Below are 17,690 nucleotides of genomic sequence, written 5' to 3' on the forward strand. Positions count from 1 at the left end.
TGTATATATGTGTTAAATATAGTTGTGCAGCATCACATGTTTAAAAAGGTGAAAGAAATACACAGGACTAAGAGAAAGTCATTAATTAATTTTTTTCAAAGAATATAAAGTAAGTCTTCTGAAATATTTAGAATTTCTGATTTATTAAACCTAAAGGAAAGAAATACAGAGATAGGATGATGTTATGGACTAAATGTAAATTTATGTGTTAAAGCCCTAACTCCCAATGTGATGATATTTAAAGATGGTCCTTTAGAGGGTAATTAGAGTTAGATGAGGCCATGGGGGTACAGCTCTGCTCTGGCAGAATTAGCGGGCCCATGTGAAGAGAGACACCAGAAAGCTTGATCTCCTGCTCTCCGCCTGCTTGCACAGAGAAAAGGCTGTGTCAGCACTCACCAGAAACCAACCCTACTGGTGCTCTGATCTTGAAAGTCCGGCTTCCAGAACTGTGAGAAGGTAAATTTCTGTTGTTTAAGCCACCAAGTCTATTGTACTTTGTTATGTCGGGCTAAGAAATCTCAGACAGATATTTATTTACCAGCTAAAATAAATCCAAATAATGTTTAAATTAAAATAGAAGAAACACAGATTAAACTTAAGGAGGAACTTTCTGACAATTAGTTGGCCAAAATACTAGAATAAGCTACCGAAGATCATGAGGTGATCTCCTGAAGATCATGGGGTAAGGGAGAAGTTGGGGGAGACAAACCAGCCAGATCCTTGGTCTCCGGGGAAGTTAAAACATGCACCTGTTTTCAGGCAAAGGATTTGCCTATCCTATTGCTTATGATTATTTTCTACTCACAGAATTGGATATCAGGTGATGTCAATTTTAAAGTTGTTATTTAGTGTTTCTACATGAAGCTATTGAGATTGATTTATGACTACCTTTTATTTCAGGATTTAATATTTCAGAAAAAAATGTATGGACATTTTTCAGTGAGGTGGACTCTCCTTCAATGTGTTCAAATTCTTTCAATGAAACAAATTTTGGTTGAATTTTGCCAAGAGATGGGCATTTTAAAAATACCTGATTTCTGCCCATATTGCTTGAGTATTGAGAAACCAAACTGGGCCCCATGCCAAAGTCTTCATAGATACCTACAGTCTAAATAGCTCACCTTTGATCACATGACAATTCAATGGCAGGATTGATCCTAAACTCACCACCTGTTTAAGCCTTGCCCACAAGCACCAAGCCTTTCTTCTAGTAGGAAAAGAGATATTCCAAAGGGGCTAAGTTCCAAAAATAATTTTGGGATACATTAATGCCATCTTTAAATAGAGGTCTTTTTTTTGCATAGACTCCTTAGTTTCCTTAGTAGATTTAGGGTGCAGGGAACTTATTAAGGAATCAATTAGTGCCTTATTGCTCTGTTGAGGACTGAAGGATACCCTTTCAGCACTGGGAAACTTTTTGTTCCTCTCAAGTACCCATACACTTTCAGGTAATGACTAGGGGAATCTTTGATTTATAGATTGTGAACACAAAAATTCATTTTCGAGGTAGCCAGGAAAGGGAAAAAAGTTTCAGAAGATCGACAGCATTAGAAACTATAGCTGAGAAAAAGAAAATCTGAGCAGAAATTATTGTGAGATATTATTCCTTCAATTCCCAGCAGCTAGAAGGAAAAGGTACCTGTAGTCCTAGCTGGATATTACTTTATGATAAGCCTCTGATTATACACATTGGTCTTTCAGATTCCAACACAGGTAAAAGATTATGTAGGTTTAAACCGCTGGTGCATATCAATGAGCAGATATAACCAACAATGGCCGATGGCTATCAATATGCTAAGGATAGTAAGTTGCCACAGGAAGCCTGTCAAAAAAAACTCCTCAATTCTGGCCACACAGCCACCATCCACCAGGGTCACCCAGAAACACCAGTGCTGGTTGAGGTCCCTCTTATGTCTAGTCAGGTAACCCCATTACAAAGCACTGGTGACTTGGAATCCAGGGTGATTCAAAAGACCAGGCTGATCACTAGCCACCAGCAGGTCAACTAAGTTAACTGCTGAGCACCTGAGTGCACCACTGAAGAACAAACTGGGGATGGAATTGTAACTACTGCACCAAATGGACACTGTAAGGAATGCACAAATGAAGAGACCAAGGCGTGATTCTTTTCCTGTGCACACCACTCCGGCTATTCTAACTCCCAATTCCTCTCTTCTTATTACTGCTCTATCTCTCCATGCCACTGAGGCACCGTAACCCAGTTACAGAGCACAAAAGTTCCAATCCATCAATGTTTAAAAATTGGGGCATTTTTTCTCAAAGCCAATGCCAACTGCATCCTTTGGGAAAGTGTCTTCTAGCTTTCTGAATCATGCACTGGTAGGTGGTGGCTATATATTTCAGGGCAGTTATATATTGTGAGTAGCCCAGTGATGTGGGAAATGTTGTTTTTTTCATATGGGGCTTCCTCTTGTCAAGGCAGATGTAGCTGAACAAACCGGCATCCGTGACAGCCCTGGAAGCCCAGGCCCTGGAACATAGAACTACAAGCATGTCAGAATCTAAGCAGCTCCAGCGACCGCAGGAGCTACAGCTCATCCATGTTTGTTATAATTTTCTGTTTATCTCTCTCTGTCCTCATTCCTCTGTGTTTGGCTTATAAAAGAAAAATTATGCTGAACCAGTTAAACAGGCAAGGAAGACTTTATTCAAAATGATTACAACAGAGGAGAGAGCTTCAATTCAACACTGGAAACAAAGGAGGGAGTTAAGTGCTGAGATGGGCTAGTGAAGTACTCAAGGTTGGGAGGAAATAAGTTGATTAGTGAAATTTGACCATTTGTGTTTGCTAATTGGTACTTATCAAATTTAGTCTCCTGCTTTTTCACAGAGACTGGGAGATAGGGTCGATGATATCTTCCTTGATGGTTACATTTCAAAAGGATGAGTTGCATGTCCTTGGGAAAGACAGAATGGGTTGCAAAACTGGCAAGAGGCTGGGTGAAGATTTACATCTCAAAGGGGCAGAGAAAGGATTTAAAATTGCAAGTTTTCTCAAATAAATGCTCAAAGAAAAGGGAGGTGTATTAGTCCATTTTCACACTGCTGATAAAGACATATCCAAGACTGGGCAATTTATAAAAGAAAGAGGTTTAATTGGACTTACAGTTCCACATGACTGGGGAAGCCTCACAATCATGGTGGAAGGCAAGGAGGAGCAAGTCCCATCTTACATGGATAGCAGCAGGCAAAAAGAGCTTTTGCAGGAAAAATTCCTCTTACAGTAACCATCAGATCTCATGAGACTTACTCACTGTCATGAGAACAGCATGGGAAAGACCTGCCCCCATGATTCAATTACCTGCCACCATGTCCCTCCCACAGTATGTGGGAATTCAAGATGAGATTTGGGTGGGGACACAGCCAAATCATATCAGGAGGCAAGAAGCCTAGGGTCAAGAGGAAACCTGTCGAAAGTTTAGTTAAGTTGAGGGGAATGGTAATGCTGTTTTAATCACTCTTCCCCATTTTTCTTATGGTAACAGTGGACTGACCTTTCTTCCTCTCACGGCTCTTACCCACTGGCCATGGACCAAATAACCCATGCTCATCATCCCTTCAGCATCAGCTTCTGCTGTGAGGCCAAGGTACTGCTATGTCACAGTGATTTCCTGCCAGCTGGCCTCAGGATTCATAGGCCTCACCCACTTTCTATTTCTTTTTTACATTGATTTGAATTATTTTGCTTTTTCTTCTGCCATCTGGAATAACCACAGACCTAAGTATATCTTCACTAATTACGAATTTTTCTTTCTTTTGGAGATTGTAGTCAATGTTTATTACCTACAAATTGAGTTATTGGGTATCTTTTTTATTTTTGCGCACTTACAAATCACTGTCTACCTATAGATAAACTAAACTTCAATCATTTTTTTCAAAAAAACTTTTTCTTTTTTTACTAAGTTCTCTAACACACCATCATCCTTTTCCACTTAAAATTTAATTTTAAAGCCAATATTCATTTATTCAAAGATAAGGTCATCCATCACTCCCATAATCTCCTGGAAAGATAAGAGTAATAAAAAGAAAAGTAATATGTCATATTTCCTTGACAAATAAAGCCATAAGTTGTAAGAATTCACATGCTTGGGTCTATCTTTGGCAACAGAACTAAGAAAGATATCGTAAGTGATATATATTTATTTATGCCCACTGGTTAAAATTACTTTACCAAGTAGTATGACTGCAGAAATGCAAGGAATTTATTCAAGCAAGGTGGAAATGGAATGCTTTACTACAGTTTGAAAAAGACAGTGTCTGCTAGGAGGATTAGGTTCAGCTGCAAATTATTAAAAATTCAAGCAAAAGTAATAATAAAACTGTGGCTTAAACAAGATTTTTAAAATCTTGCATAACGAAGACCCAATATAAGTAGCCACAGACTACCAGCCTCTCTGTGGTCATCAGGGACCCAGACCTCTCCTCCCTGATGACTGTTCATCCCTGGCTTGTTTGCACACTGCTGGGGCTCCTTCCACAGGAAGGAGAAAGCAGGTGAAGAAGAGTGAGCCCTCGATTTTAAGAACACTTCCAGGAAGTTGAACAAAACATTTCTCCTACCTCCTTTTGGCCACAACTTACTCATATGGTCATCCCTAGCCTAAGAGAGGCTGGGAAATGTGGTCTTTAAACTTGGCAGCTGTGTACACAGCCAGAAATCTTAATTCTTTATTTTACTAAGGGTAAAAAGGCAGATCAGATACTGGGGAGACCCAGCACTCCCCACCACACTGACATTATGTGTCTGTGAAGACATAGATAGTGTCTTCCTTCTTTGTTCAAATATATATATATATATTTGAACGTATATATATATATATACACACGTGTATATATACACACATATATATACGTGCATATATATTGTGTATATATATATACGTGTATATATATGTATATATATACCTGTATATATATACTATACTATACAGGTATATATATACATATATATATATACACACACACACACACACACACACACAAATAATTCCAGTGTCCAGGCATATACTTATCTAGGTGTACAGTGGTGAGAGGACCCATGAAGGAACTTGGAAGTGTCTGTGTTGTAGCCCATAACAGGATTTCAGTAGTTAACAAAAATCATGTAATTGCTAACCTTTATTGGGCATCTATAATGTGCCAGGAATTGTTCCAAACACCTTACCCATGCTAACTGTAATCACATGTAGTTCATTCTCACAAAACACAACTGTGAGAGGGACTTTTAATATCTACTTTTAACAAATGAGGAAACTGAGGCAGTGCACACTGAAGCAGCCCCAGCCCTTCAGCTTGCTGCTTTCTGCCGTCACCTTCCTCATGGTAGACAACATCAGATATTTTGATTTCAAGGTCATTCTCTTTGATTATTTCAGCATCAAAATTTTACAAAAGGATGTGGTGATGCCGACAAAATGTTGTGCCATTCTCTTATTTAGTATTGGTGTCTTCCACTCACACTCTGAATTGATACCTTGTTTACACCACTGAAGGAAATATTAAACATGAATTTCTAAGAGATCCCACTAAATTCATGTTCAACATAAATCTTTAGTGATACACAGTGTATGTGTATACACATAAACTGAATTTTAATGAAATTTCAATTGCGACCTTTTTATCTAGTGGTTTGAATTAGTGAGTTTGATAAGACAAAACTCATGTGGATCACAGAGGAAATTTGACTGAGTTGATTAAAATTCCCTAATATGCTTATAAATATGATTTATAAAGAAGCTCTTCTAGTAAATTTTGAAAACCCTGTTTCTTAAGATCTTTTTCATTTTTTTCTCTCCTTGATATTACTTCTAGAATTTTTAAGACTTCTTCCTTAATGGGAAAGCTTAGTATAAAATGCAGACCCATAAGTCTTACCTACTTTTCACTTTTGATCAAGATGTTATATGCCACCCAATTTCTGAATTAACCTCAAAGTCATGCCTGCAAATAGTTTACACATTGGGCTTTCTTTACTTGTAGATAGGAATTAGATTCTGAAAGCCTTAAAGCTCAGGAAGGACTTCATACAAACTCTAATTTCTCCTCATTTTTTTTTCCTTAAATGATGCCAGTGATGTTATGCCAAAGTGAACTAGATGTCAGATCCAGCCCAGGGAGTTGGTAAACCACTGGCCTCCTGGCTTGTGGTCAATTCAAATGAGAGTGGTGTTGTGATTTCTGCTAATAATGATCCAGGATTTCTGCAGGGGCTCAGCCCCAGAGTGCAGGATATGAGCTTCTCCCCGACCAGTGCTGTGGCCCAGAAGCTTCCCTGAGTTCCCAAGTGTTGCAGTGCAGCAGATAGTCCTGTCTTCAATTGGCAGAACAATGTAATTAGCAAGGATCCAGGGCACCAGTGGGCATTGCTCCTGCTGACTTGGAAGAATAGGCAGCTTGCAGATAAAACATTTGCCATCTAGAATGTTCTGCTTCCTGTGATGAACAAAAGGAGTAGGCCAGGGCCGTGGGCATTGTCTAAGAAAAGTTGCACCAGTCAAGTTAAATGGGCAAGGAAGACTATTCATGACTATTGCAATGGGAGAGATTGAATTCAACTCCATTGAAACATAAGGTGGGAAGGTTTTTATTTTTATTTATTTATTTATTTATTTATTTTCCATTATTCTCTTTAATGTCATTAAATTTTTCTTTTTTTTTTATTATACTTTAAGTTTTAGGGTACATGCGCACATTGTGCAGGTTAGTTACATATGTATACATGTGCCATGCTGGTGCGCTGCACCCACTAACTCGTCATCTAGCATTAGGTATATCTCCCAATGCTATCCCTCCCCCCTCCCCCCACCCCACCACAGTCCCCAGAGTGTGATATTCCCCTTCCTGTGTCCATGTGATCTCATTGTTCAATTCCCACCTATGAGTGAGAATATGCGGTGTTTGGTTTTTTGTTCTTGCGATAGTTTACGGAGAATGATGATTTCCAATTTCATCCATGTCCCTACAAAGGACATGAACTCATCATTTTTTATGGCTGCATAGTATTCCATGGTGTATACTTTTCTGCTGACTCACCCCAGAGTTTAAAAACCTTCCATGTGTTTATGCAGCCAAAAAACACATGGAAGGTTTTTAAACTCTGGGGTGAGTCAGCAGAAAAGTATTGAAAGTGTCTATCAGGGAGAGAGGCTGGTTGATGTGATGAGGCCATCTGTGCTTGCTAATTGGTGCTTATTGAAGTTAGGGTTCTGTCCTCGCAAGGAGACTGGAGATAGGAGCCCTATCTTTCTTAGTGATTACATTTCAAAGGCCTAGCTCCAAGATCCACCGGGAAGACATTTTCTGGGTTGTAAAACTAGCAAGAGACTGGGAGAAGGTCTGCATTTGAAAGGGGTAGAAAAAAATGTATAGAGGCAAGATTTCTAAAGTAAATGCTCTGAGAAAAGAAAGGCCAGGGGTCTAGAGTCAGGAAGAAACCTGTCTGCAGTTTAGTTGAGCTAAGGGAACTGTTAAGTTCACCTTGGTTGGTGCACATGGTACTTCTCCTACCGGGAATCACAGCTCAGCCCACCACATGTCCTCTGACTCTCTCACTCCTCTTCTCAGGCACTCTCTCACTCCTTCCCTTCTCAGTTCAAATACTGTCTCTGTGCCAGCCTCACTCCCTCAGGAAATCTTCCTGGAGTTCCACCACCACCCCAAGGCCGTGTCCCTAGTAATCAAACCATATTACAATTCCTCTCTTGCTGTCTGTCCTCATCTGACACTTGTCCTGTGCTTTCTGAATCCTAGCCTGGTATTTAGATGATAGTAGAAATTCCATCAGTGCTGAGTGATTAGTCCACTAGTGGATGAACACCAGTTTCATCCAATTGTCTTAAAACACTTTAATATGGCATGTTTTCTAGAACAAGCTCAATCATGTGCAAATTTTTGCAGGGAATGTCATTTGTAATTCTTCACCTTGAGTGGACATAAAGCAAACAATGTTATGGCCATGTGGCGATCATATGGTATTTCTCCGGAATTTAAAAACCCTTCCTAAAAGTTATTATATTTGTCCATCACATTAACGTTTATATAAACATCCCACATTGCCTCATTTGATTTTTACAAGTAGTCCATGTAGTAAAGGCATAGGACATTTTGTCCCCATTTTAAGGTAGCAATACTATCAAGTGACTGAGCCAGATGTTAATTTAACTCCAAGTCATGAGTTCTCTCATCACCCACCCCCAACCCCTTCTTCCACTCCCACCCCCACCCCACCACATCTTTCAAAAAAGGTCCCTCCTTTCCACCAACTACCACAGTCCATCCTCAGCGAATATGGTGTGGACTCTATCTGATTCTGAATTTCTCTGACATAATAACATCTATTTTTTAATCAAGGAGTGAATAATCTGGAGGTAAAGACTTGAATTCAAGGAGAAGAACATCACACACCAGGGCTTGTCGGGGGGTGGGGGGCTAGATAAGGGATAGCATTAGAAGAAATACCTAATGTAGATAACGGGTTGATGGGTGCAGGAAACCACCATGGCCTGTGTATATCTATGTAACAAACCTGCACGTTCTGCACACGTACCCCAGAACTTAAAGTATAATAATAAAAAAAATAGGTAATACAATCTCATCTTTTGATTGGTATGTGTATATATGTGTGTGTGTGTGTGTGTGTGTGTGTGTGTATATATGGTATGTATATATATGTGTATATATATGTGTGTATATATATGTGTGTGTGTGTATATATATATATATATAGAGAGAGAGAGAGAGAGAGATACTTGAATTCACACTTTGGGTAATTTAGACACCTAGTATAGTGCTTATTACTTGAGGATATCTTCTTAAATGAATCACTTGCTTTCAAAGGCACACTGATGCTCCCCAGCGCCAGTCTTCCTCCGTAGTCTTTCCCTTTCTTTTCTCATTTTACTTTGTCAGAGAAGCAGGAAATTTCTGCCAATGAGAGGAAGTGTGGGCAGTGGAAATTTCTGCTCCTTATGCTAAAATAGTAAGAATATTATAATAATGAAGATAATGAGATGATTATCCAAAATCATCTTTGATAGGAAAAAAATGAGGAACAGTAGAGATAAGTGATCTGAACAATACATAGTAATGTAGAACCATACGGCATTTCTGGAAATTATATTCCATAATTTCTTGACATTGAGAAAGCTTCAAGGAGCATAGAACCTGCTTAATTTTTCTCAAAGAAGTCATTACTATATTTATAGTTGATATTTTTTCCTTAATATAAGGAGCCAGAACTTGTACTTCATATACTTACCAGCACATAGTTTCTCTGCGTAAATGTTTGCTGATGGAAGAAAGGAAGGAAAGAGACATTCAAAGATTGAATGATCAAGTGGGGACCCTGCATCCCATGAGGCTGAGTCACTGCCAGTCCCCAATTCTTCCCCCTCCACGGCTGCAAGCCTGCCCTCCCGACACTACAGTGGCCACCTCCACTCCTCTGGGTTGAACAAGGAAAGGAGCAGCAGAAGTTGGATGATTTAGATTTCTTCTTCAGATTAGCTATTTACCACTTAGCAAAGCTAGGAGGAGCTGAATTTGAAGGGCTGAGGACCAAAACTTGGCTCATTTGATGTAAGCCTCACAGCAATCCAGGCAGTGGAAATGAGACATGGACCAGGTCCAGGCGAACCTTCCAAAATGAACAGGGCTGGGCTGAGCTGCCCACACACAATGTACAGTGGGGAGGCCCCAGGCATGGGGCAAACAAGGCTCCAAGGGTATCATCCATGGCATGCCTGCTACATGCTACCACCCAATGCAGGGACGCAGTTATGATCCCCATTACCCATGTGAGCAAATGAAGACTTAGGGCTTAGGCCTATCTGGCAGAGGCTAGAGACTTCTACTTCTACCTGGGGCTGGAAATAAGGTCTGTCTATTTGCAGAGCCTGAGACACTAATTACTTCTGCTATTGACCATATTGCTCCTTCTTTCACATAAATGTGACATAGTTTGTGGAGGTCACTCTTGGGAGATCTCTTCCTGCTGTCTCCTGCAGTAGACAGCCTGAGAATGAAACATGACTTGGAGCCTCACATATCTGTGATAGAATCAACAGAGCCTGCACACGCCATTCTCCAAGCAACAGGGACCCAAAAGCTGAGGCTTGAAGGTGGTTGAAGGAGGAGCCAAAGGGAGGGTTTCTCTAACTTTCTGAGCGTTAAAGTCAAACTGCAAAGCTTTTAAGGTACGGATGAAAGCACTTTTGCAGCAATATTCACTGAAAAAACCAAATAGCCTGCTTTCTAAGAAACTTTTTTTTTATTATACTTTGAGTTTTAGGGTACATGTGCACAACGTGCAGGTTAGTTACATATGTATACATGTGCCATGTTGGTGTGCTGCACCCATTAACTCGTCATTTAACATTAGGTATATCTCCTAATGCTATCCCTCCCCCCTCCCCCCAACCCACAACAGGCCCCAGTGTGTGATGTTCCCCTTCCTGTGTCCATGTGTTCTCATTGTTCAATTCCCACCTATGAGTGAGAACATGCGTTATTTGGTTTTTAACCCAAATGTCCAACAGTGATAGACTGGATTAAGAAAATGTGGCACATATACACTGTGGAATACTATGCAGCCATAAAAAATGATGAGTTCATGTCCTTTGTAGGGACATGGATGAAGCTGGAAACCATCATTCTAAGAAACTTTTATAATTGAAGCCAACTATCTGCTTCCTTTCAAGTCATTTCAACAGAGACAGAAATATCATTGCATTGTAGAGGCAGAAATGTCACTATACAAAGTTCAAGGTACCTGAGGGTTTGGGCCATGAATAAACTTCGAAGATCCATTAGCACCAGAAAAATATGCACTTTGGCTAGTGTCTGTGTGTGTTTTTCTTCACTAGGGAGCCAGTCCATTATGTAATTAATTAAAAACATGTCTGTATCAAAATTTGAACCATAAGTCCATAATGATAAAAAATAAATAGACAGGTCAATAAGTCACTAAATGGGACAGGAGAAACTTCTTCCTATAGCAGAAGACCAATATTTAAATGTAGAAGAAAGGATGAAAAAAATCTATACATCCATCACGAGACTGATTGCTACCTGCATGATTCATCAAAGAAAGCTTAAGTCATTGATGCACGTTTCATGAGGAAAGAATATGTACCCAGCCTTACGGTGTCTTCACATGGATCAATTACTACTTATATAAAGGGAAAAATGTTAACTCTGCAGTGAAGAAACACAGTAGACACCTCTCTAACCAAGTCAGCAAAGTGAATGTCACCAACAAGACAAACTGGCCTTTCAGCCTCCTGAAGAGATGTACAAGAAAGACATCTTCACTCCCACTGTCTTCTCACCCAAAATGCTCAGTGCCACCTGAGCATGAAGAAACCTCAGACTGACTCAAACTGAGGACTGTTTTATAAAATCTCTGCTCTGCACTCTTCGAAAAGGTCAATGTCATGGAAGACCAAGAATTAGGAGAAAGTGCTTCAGACTAAAGGAGATCAAGGAGGCAAGACAACTGATACCAAAGTGAGATCCTGGGCTCCACTAAGAACTGGGGAAAACTGCTGCAAGGTACATTATTAAGACATTTGGTGGAATTTGAATATGGATTGTGAATTAAAGCCCCCAATATTTCAATGTAGGTTCTATTTTCCCTGAGTGTCGGCTGGTCTGAGAAATAAAGAGAAAGAGTACAAAGAGAGGAATTTTACAGCTGGGCTTATGGTTAATTTACACTCACCATGATGTTGATGTAAATTTTTCTGAATTTGATAATTGCATTATGGTTCTGGAAGTGGTTGCTCTTGTTCATGTACACAGAAGTATGGGTATTTGGCCTAAAAGGCAAAAGATCTCTAACTTACTCTCATGTAGTTTGTCAAATATTAATAATTATATACTCCCATTATTATTGTTGTTATTATATAAGGAGAAAGAAGCAAATGTGACAATATAAATAGTCTATGAATCTAGGCAAATGGGACCCTGGAGCTTATATAGTTGTACTATAGTTGCAACTGTTCTGTAAGATTGAAATTTTTCAAATAGATGTTAAAGAAAGTTAAAAATCTTGGACCTGGTCCTTCTCTCCTATTTTACATTTGAGAATTCCAGTCTCATAGCAATTAAGTTAAAGGTATCATCTGTCAGTGGAAGAAACTGTACTAAAATCTAGATTCCTGAGTCCTACAAAAATGTTCTGTCCACTTCCCCAGAAAACTGACACGTGTGTATTTTTTTTAACAAATTAATTGAACAACCCAGGTCATATTGCGGATAGCCGGGAGCTGGTTTTTAATGTTCTTTTTTTTTTTCTATAAAGTAGATATTCATTCAATAGAACGAAAGTGGGAAGGATATCTGGATCAGGTAGAAGCTATTCTTACCTTCTTGCTGTAATAATTAGGAGATGCCAAGCACATTTTATTATACCACATTTTTCAACTTCTTCCAAATATATGTAGAAGCAGACAGATTTCACATGAAAGTAGCCCTACTGAAAGTGGAAAAACAAGTCTTTCTTCATTACTGAGCCTGCGACAATACAAAGAATTTTGCTCCCAGTTTGCCACACCCCATCCCAACCACCTGCCCAGGAAGCTAGCCCACATAAGTTCTGAGACTTGGAGCATTTGACTTGATAAGCTGTGCCATGGAGCTCCTGACCTCTCAGGAGGGATAAAAGGGCCATGGATTTCCAGGGAGACTTTATGTATTCAGTTAAGTCTCTGGAAGGGTTCTCAACAGAGGGAATAGGATTCAAGCTAAATTCATGCTTTTATGGGCACCTAAGTTTTAACAAATATGCTACAAGGACAACATTCCATAGCAAGACCTCCCCCAATGGAGTCAGGCACATAATCAAGGCCATGTCTCATTTATTTTTCCTTTTAAGTTGTATTTATATTACAGAGTTAGGGGCACAGACTCCAGAGCTCGAAAGTGTTTGTATCTGGAATGCCAGTCACTAGCTTGGTGACCTCGAGCAACTCACTTAAACTAACTTTACCCCAGGTCCTCACCTGTAAAGTGGAGATAATAATAGCTGTATTCTTCATTTATGCTTTATAAAACCGATGATTGAAATTTAGTGGTCACATTTATGGACTTATTTAAATCCTACCTTATTTCAACATAGGATCATGAAACAACAGATTAAAGACAAATAAATGATGACACTGAGCTGCAGGAAATACAAGGCAAAGAGAAAATGGCGAGGCCTTCAGCAGTCAAAGCCCTCCAGGCATGAAACCATTACTCCCAGGGAGCTGCAGAATTTTTGTGCTTTCTTGCTTCCGCAGTGAAAAATTTGTACATTTCTAATGCAATCAAACATAGACTGAGAGCTTTTTGCTGTCCTGAATTTTGTCTAATGTCTTGAAGCTGAGAATAATGGGGTAATAAGTTAGCCCACATTCTAAAGGGAAGCACTGGATACTTTCCTACCAAATTGCCCAGCGATGGCCAACTTGATTCTCATGAACACCATCGCCAATAACCACCTAAGAGAAGACCAAGGCTTCAGTGGAAGAAATTCATTTAAAGAGGTAGAAAGTTGACATTGTTTCTTTCGTCTTCCAATGTTCGTGTCCTCCCAGCCTCCCCAAGCCAAAAGATGGACATGGGGGTAGGAGGGAGGAGGAGAGTGGCTTGCAAAAAGGAAGGGTAGCATCTCATCCTGGCTGGATGCCTGCTGAGCCATGGGTTATTCCAAGTCCACCCTGTTCAAACGGTGCTATTCAAATGTAGCACAATAGCTGAACTGGTGTCCCCACTCCAAGTTTGGGGGGTGTAGACACTGGGATCTACCCTTTGCCTCCAGAAACTGAAGGTGGGAAGCTGGCTGTGGAGCTGTTACAATGGAGGTTCCAGGTAAGAGGGCTGCAGCGAAAGCTACCTTTTCTGCTATGCCTTGGGAAGGTGGGCAGCCAAGGAGCCTTGAAAGAGCCTGTGCAAGGGGCCTGTGTGGTGGGACCTCAGCGGGGAGGTGCTGAGAGAGCATTGACGAGGCCTGCTGAGGTGACGTCACTTGGCTCATGAGACTGCGTAGGTTTGTGATTCCTAGAGGGGTGTCTACAAAGAGTCACACAAGCACCTAAGGAGGTGGGAACCCTTGGTATGTCTCTCCTGACAGCCTTTGGTAGCCAAGATAATTTTTAAAAAGCACCAGCTGAATAAAATGTCTTGTATTAATGTTTTTCTATTTCTTCTTTCTCTTATCCCAGACCCTATATCCTGAAGGTGGATCCAATGAAAAAAGAGAAGCAGCAAGGTAAATTCTAGGAAAGACTAAACATTTTCCTCTCTTTGGTGTAGAGAAAAGTGAATGAAAAACAGGAGTTTTTTTAGATTTTATTAATGTTATGATATCTGATAATGAGACTGTTCTAATACCCGAAAGGAACCCAAAATCTTCGGAATCCATCCAAGGTATCTTTCATACACAGCACAGGGAGAACTGGCTAAGCCTATTTGCAAAAATTATTTGTTTCCAGGATTGTAGCCTGCAGAGTCCAGCCTATTCCATTAAACGGTGGTGTCAATTTGTCAGGTCCACCGGGTGCAAAGGACCTAGTTCCCCAGAAGGAAGCTTTTCTGTTCTGACCCCACGAGAGATTCTCCCATTTCATGCAGAGAGATGTGCAGTGTCCTTCTTCATAGCCCTACATCCTATCCAGCACTAGGAAGGAGTTACCAAGAAATCTCTATGGCCACATTTGAATATTTTTGGTTGATTATGCATCAAGAACCAGTTAGTATTTTATAATATGTTTAGAGAAACCAAATCTTTCTTGGTCTTCATTTCTCCCATACACAACAAACACATACAAATTCCCATCTCTACAGAATCTTTTAAGTATTCCATTGTTTAAGTATTTACAATGGAGGTTGGGGCCTACAGTAGATGCTTCATATTCTCTAATTATCACCACAAATCATGCTGAAAGGCTTAGAGAGATTATGTAACTTGTTGGCCATGTCTAACTGAAATTCTGTATCCTTTGACCAACCTCTCCCCAGTCTCTCCCCACCCCCAGCTTCTGGTAACTACCATTCTACTTTCTGCTTCTATGAATTTGTTTTTTTAAGATTCCATGTATGAGGATCATGTGGTGTTTTTCTTTCTATTCCTGGCTTATTTCACTCAACCTGTGTCCTCTTGGTTGTTCCACATTGTCGAAAATGTTAGGATTTTCTTGCTTTTTTACCTTACTATACTTTCACGTCATAATTTTCTTGTTCTTTTGTCCTACATTCCTTGCTAAATAAACTATACATTTTTATGGCAGCAGATTTCTTATTCATATTTGTATATCAAACAAAGCTAAAGAATAAATATTGAATTACCAAAGGGATGAATCATTACAAAGCAATAGTAGATTACAAGAATTTGCAAGGCATGGGGGAACTAACTTTTTGAAAGAGTTGACTTTGCACACATATAGACCAACCTATGTATTTTATGGAAAAAACTAAAGTGCTTGAAAATACATTTCTAGAAACCACTGTAAAAGCACTGTAAACCACCAGAAAATCATTTCTGTACACTTTTATCTAGAGGAAGCTAGCCACCTCTATAAAATAAAGACTAATTGAATATTTTGTTGACACCATTTTAGAAGCCAGAAAAGAACAATTTTGTAGTTCTTTAAGGTTATATTTACCCTAAACATTTGAAAAATCCAAATATGAGCTGAAAGATCAGGCATAAAATCCCATCAGGCCTTTGCTGCCATATATAACATTTTTTTCCTACATAAAATCTATCCTGTACACCTCTACCTACTGAATGAAGCTTTCTGTTTCCAGAGTGTGGCTTTTGTGGTGAACAGGGGTTTGTACTGATTTAACAGTGTAAGCAGGCAATCCTCCAGCCCTTATCCGTTTCCCCCCAGTCCCATCCCATTGCCTGTTCTCCTCCACATCCTCAGTCTCTGCCTTGGAGGCAGCTTAGATGGCTCCTGACCTAGTTCAGCCAATGGCAGGAGATAAAAGGGTGGAAAGAAGAGAACAGGTGTGGTCTCAGCCTTGACTGCAGCACCAGATCCCACCAGAGAGGACTTGGTGGCCCCACTCCTGTCTCTGGACTCACAGTGTTGCCTCCTCCCTAGGTCAGCCAAGCCTAGCGGTGGGAGTGACTTCATGTGTTTGCCAATAGCTGGGTCTCCCCACAATGTCCTGTTGGCCTCTCAACTTCTTTCATTATCAAGTTACCATTCTCCCAAATTAAATCCTCTTTTTTGTTGTTGTACATATTTAGAGTGGCTTCTGTTTCCCTGGCTGGACTCTGAGTAATATAGCAGCAATAATTTCCCAAGGGAAAGGAGGAAGACGGGTTGGCTCCAATGAAGACACTTATGATGTGAAGAGTTCCCGTAACAGTTCACCATCTCTGGGGCAGTTATACAACAGGGATCCCTGACTTCTTCAGAACCGAGAGTTCAAATCAGGACTATCTGGTGATGAATCTATCCACTAGAAGCTGGTAAGTGGCTTACATGGACTATATGAGGTCTCACTATGTTGCCAGGGCTGGACTCATACTCCTGGACTTGAGCAATCTTTTTTCCTCAGCTTCCTGGGTGGCTGGGACTACAGGTGTGAACAACCACATCCAGACTCTACAGTTTTCATATAATTGTCCATCTGTGATGCCACATACCACATCTCAATTTTACAGATGTTCAGAGAGGTTAGGTAACTTTTCCAAACTCATCCAGCTAACAAATAACATTGTAAATTACATCAACTGGAGGATGCTTGTTATTGATTACAAATTGCATTTATCAGTTGGTCAGATGACTAGTCAGCCACTGGATTATTCCAAGAAGATTCTATCAATCATAATAAGTTATTAGAAAGTTGTTCTTGGACGAATTTTGTACTTTCTCCCAGATCTGAAAAATAGCAAGGCACGTATATAAAATACGGTAATTCCCAGTGCTAATTTATCAGCAATCTGGAACTTCCACAAGTTACTTTTAACAAGTTAATCACCTGTCTTACAAGTATATATGATCTTAATAATAATAGCTGAGGTTTATACAGTGTTTAATAAATGCCTGGCATTCTTATAAGCATTTACATTAATTAATTCATTTAATTCTCAAAAGAACCCTCTTAAATGAGGGGATTTTAAAAAGTTAATGGAAAATATAATTAAAAGATAAAAATAAAAAATATAAACTTTATTATTCAACATAAGCTCCATCAAGGTAAAGACAATTATGATTATTATTTTTTGAGACAGGGTCTCACTCTGCTGCCCAGGCTGGAGTGCAGTGGTGCAATCATAGCTCACTGCAGCCTCAACCTCCCGGGTTCAATCAATTCTCCTACCTCAGCCTCCCAAGTAGCTGAGACTGCAGGTGCGGTTAGGCACATCCAGCTAATTTTTTATTTTTATAGAAATGGGGGTCTCACTGTGTTGCTCAGCCCAGTCTCAAACTCAAGACACTTTTGTAAGCAATAATACCAGCTATTTAGTTCATCCCTAAAGAACTGAGGGTCAGAAGGAGCGAAATCAGAACTGTAAGGTAGATTCCTAATGACTTCCCAGAAAAACTATTGCTAAATTGCCCTTGTTGATGAGAAGACTGAGCAAGAGCATTGTTGTCATGGAGAAGAACTTTACGGTGAAGCTTTCCCAGACGTTTTTCTGCTAACATTTTGGCTTTTTCAAAACA

General features: G+C 39.9%; 1 long non-coding RNA gene across 1 annotated transcript in view; it reads left to right on the plus strand.

Moving 5' to 3' along the window:
• LINC02196 (long intergenic non-protein coding RNA 2196) overlaps positions 1-16,489 on the plus strand; it is a 114,548-nt gene extending 98,059 nt beyond the window's left edge. The window contains exons 2-3 of the long non-coding RNA XR_001742592.2: positions 14,229-14,275; positions 16,265-16,489. This is a non-coding gene — a long non-coding RNA (long intergenic non-protein coding RNA 2196). The remainder of the gene's footprint in view (positions 1-14,228; positions 14,276-16,264) is intronic.
• Positions 16,490-17,690: the final 1,201 nt, after the last annotated feature.

The sequence above is a fragment of the Homo sapiens genome, chromosome 5 (genome assembly GCF_000001405.40).
Source record: "Homo sapiens chromosome 5, GRCh38.p14 Primary Assembly".
Taxonomy (NCBI): Eukaryota; Metazoa; Chordata; class Mammalia; order Primates; family Hominidae; genus Homo; species Homo sapiens.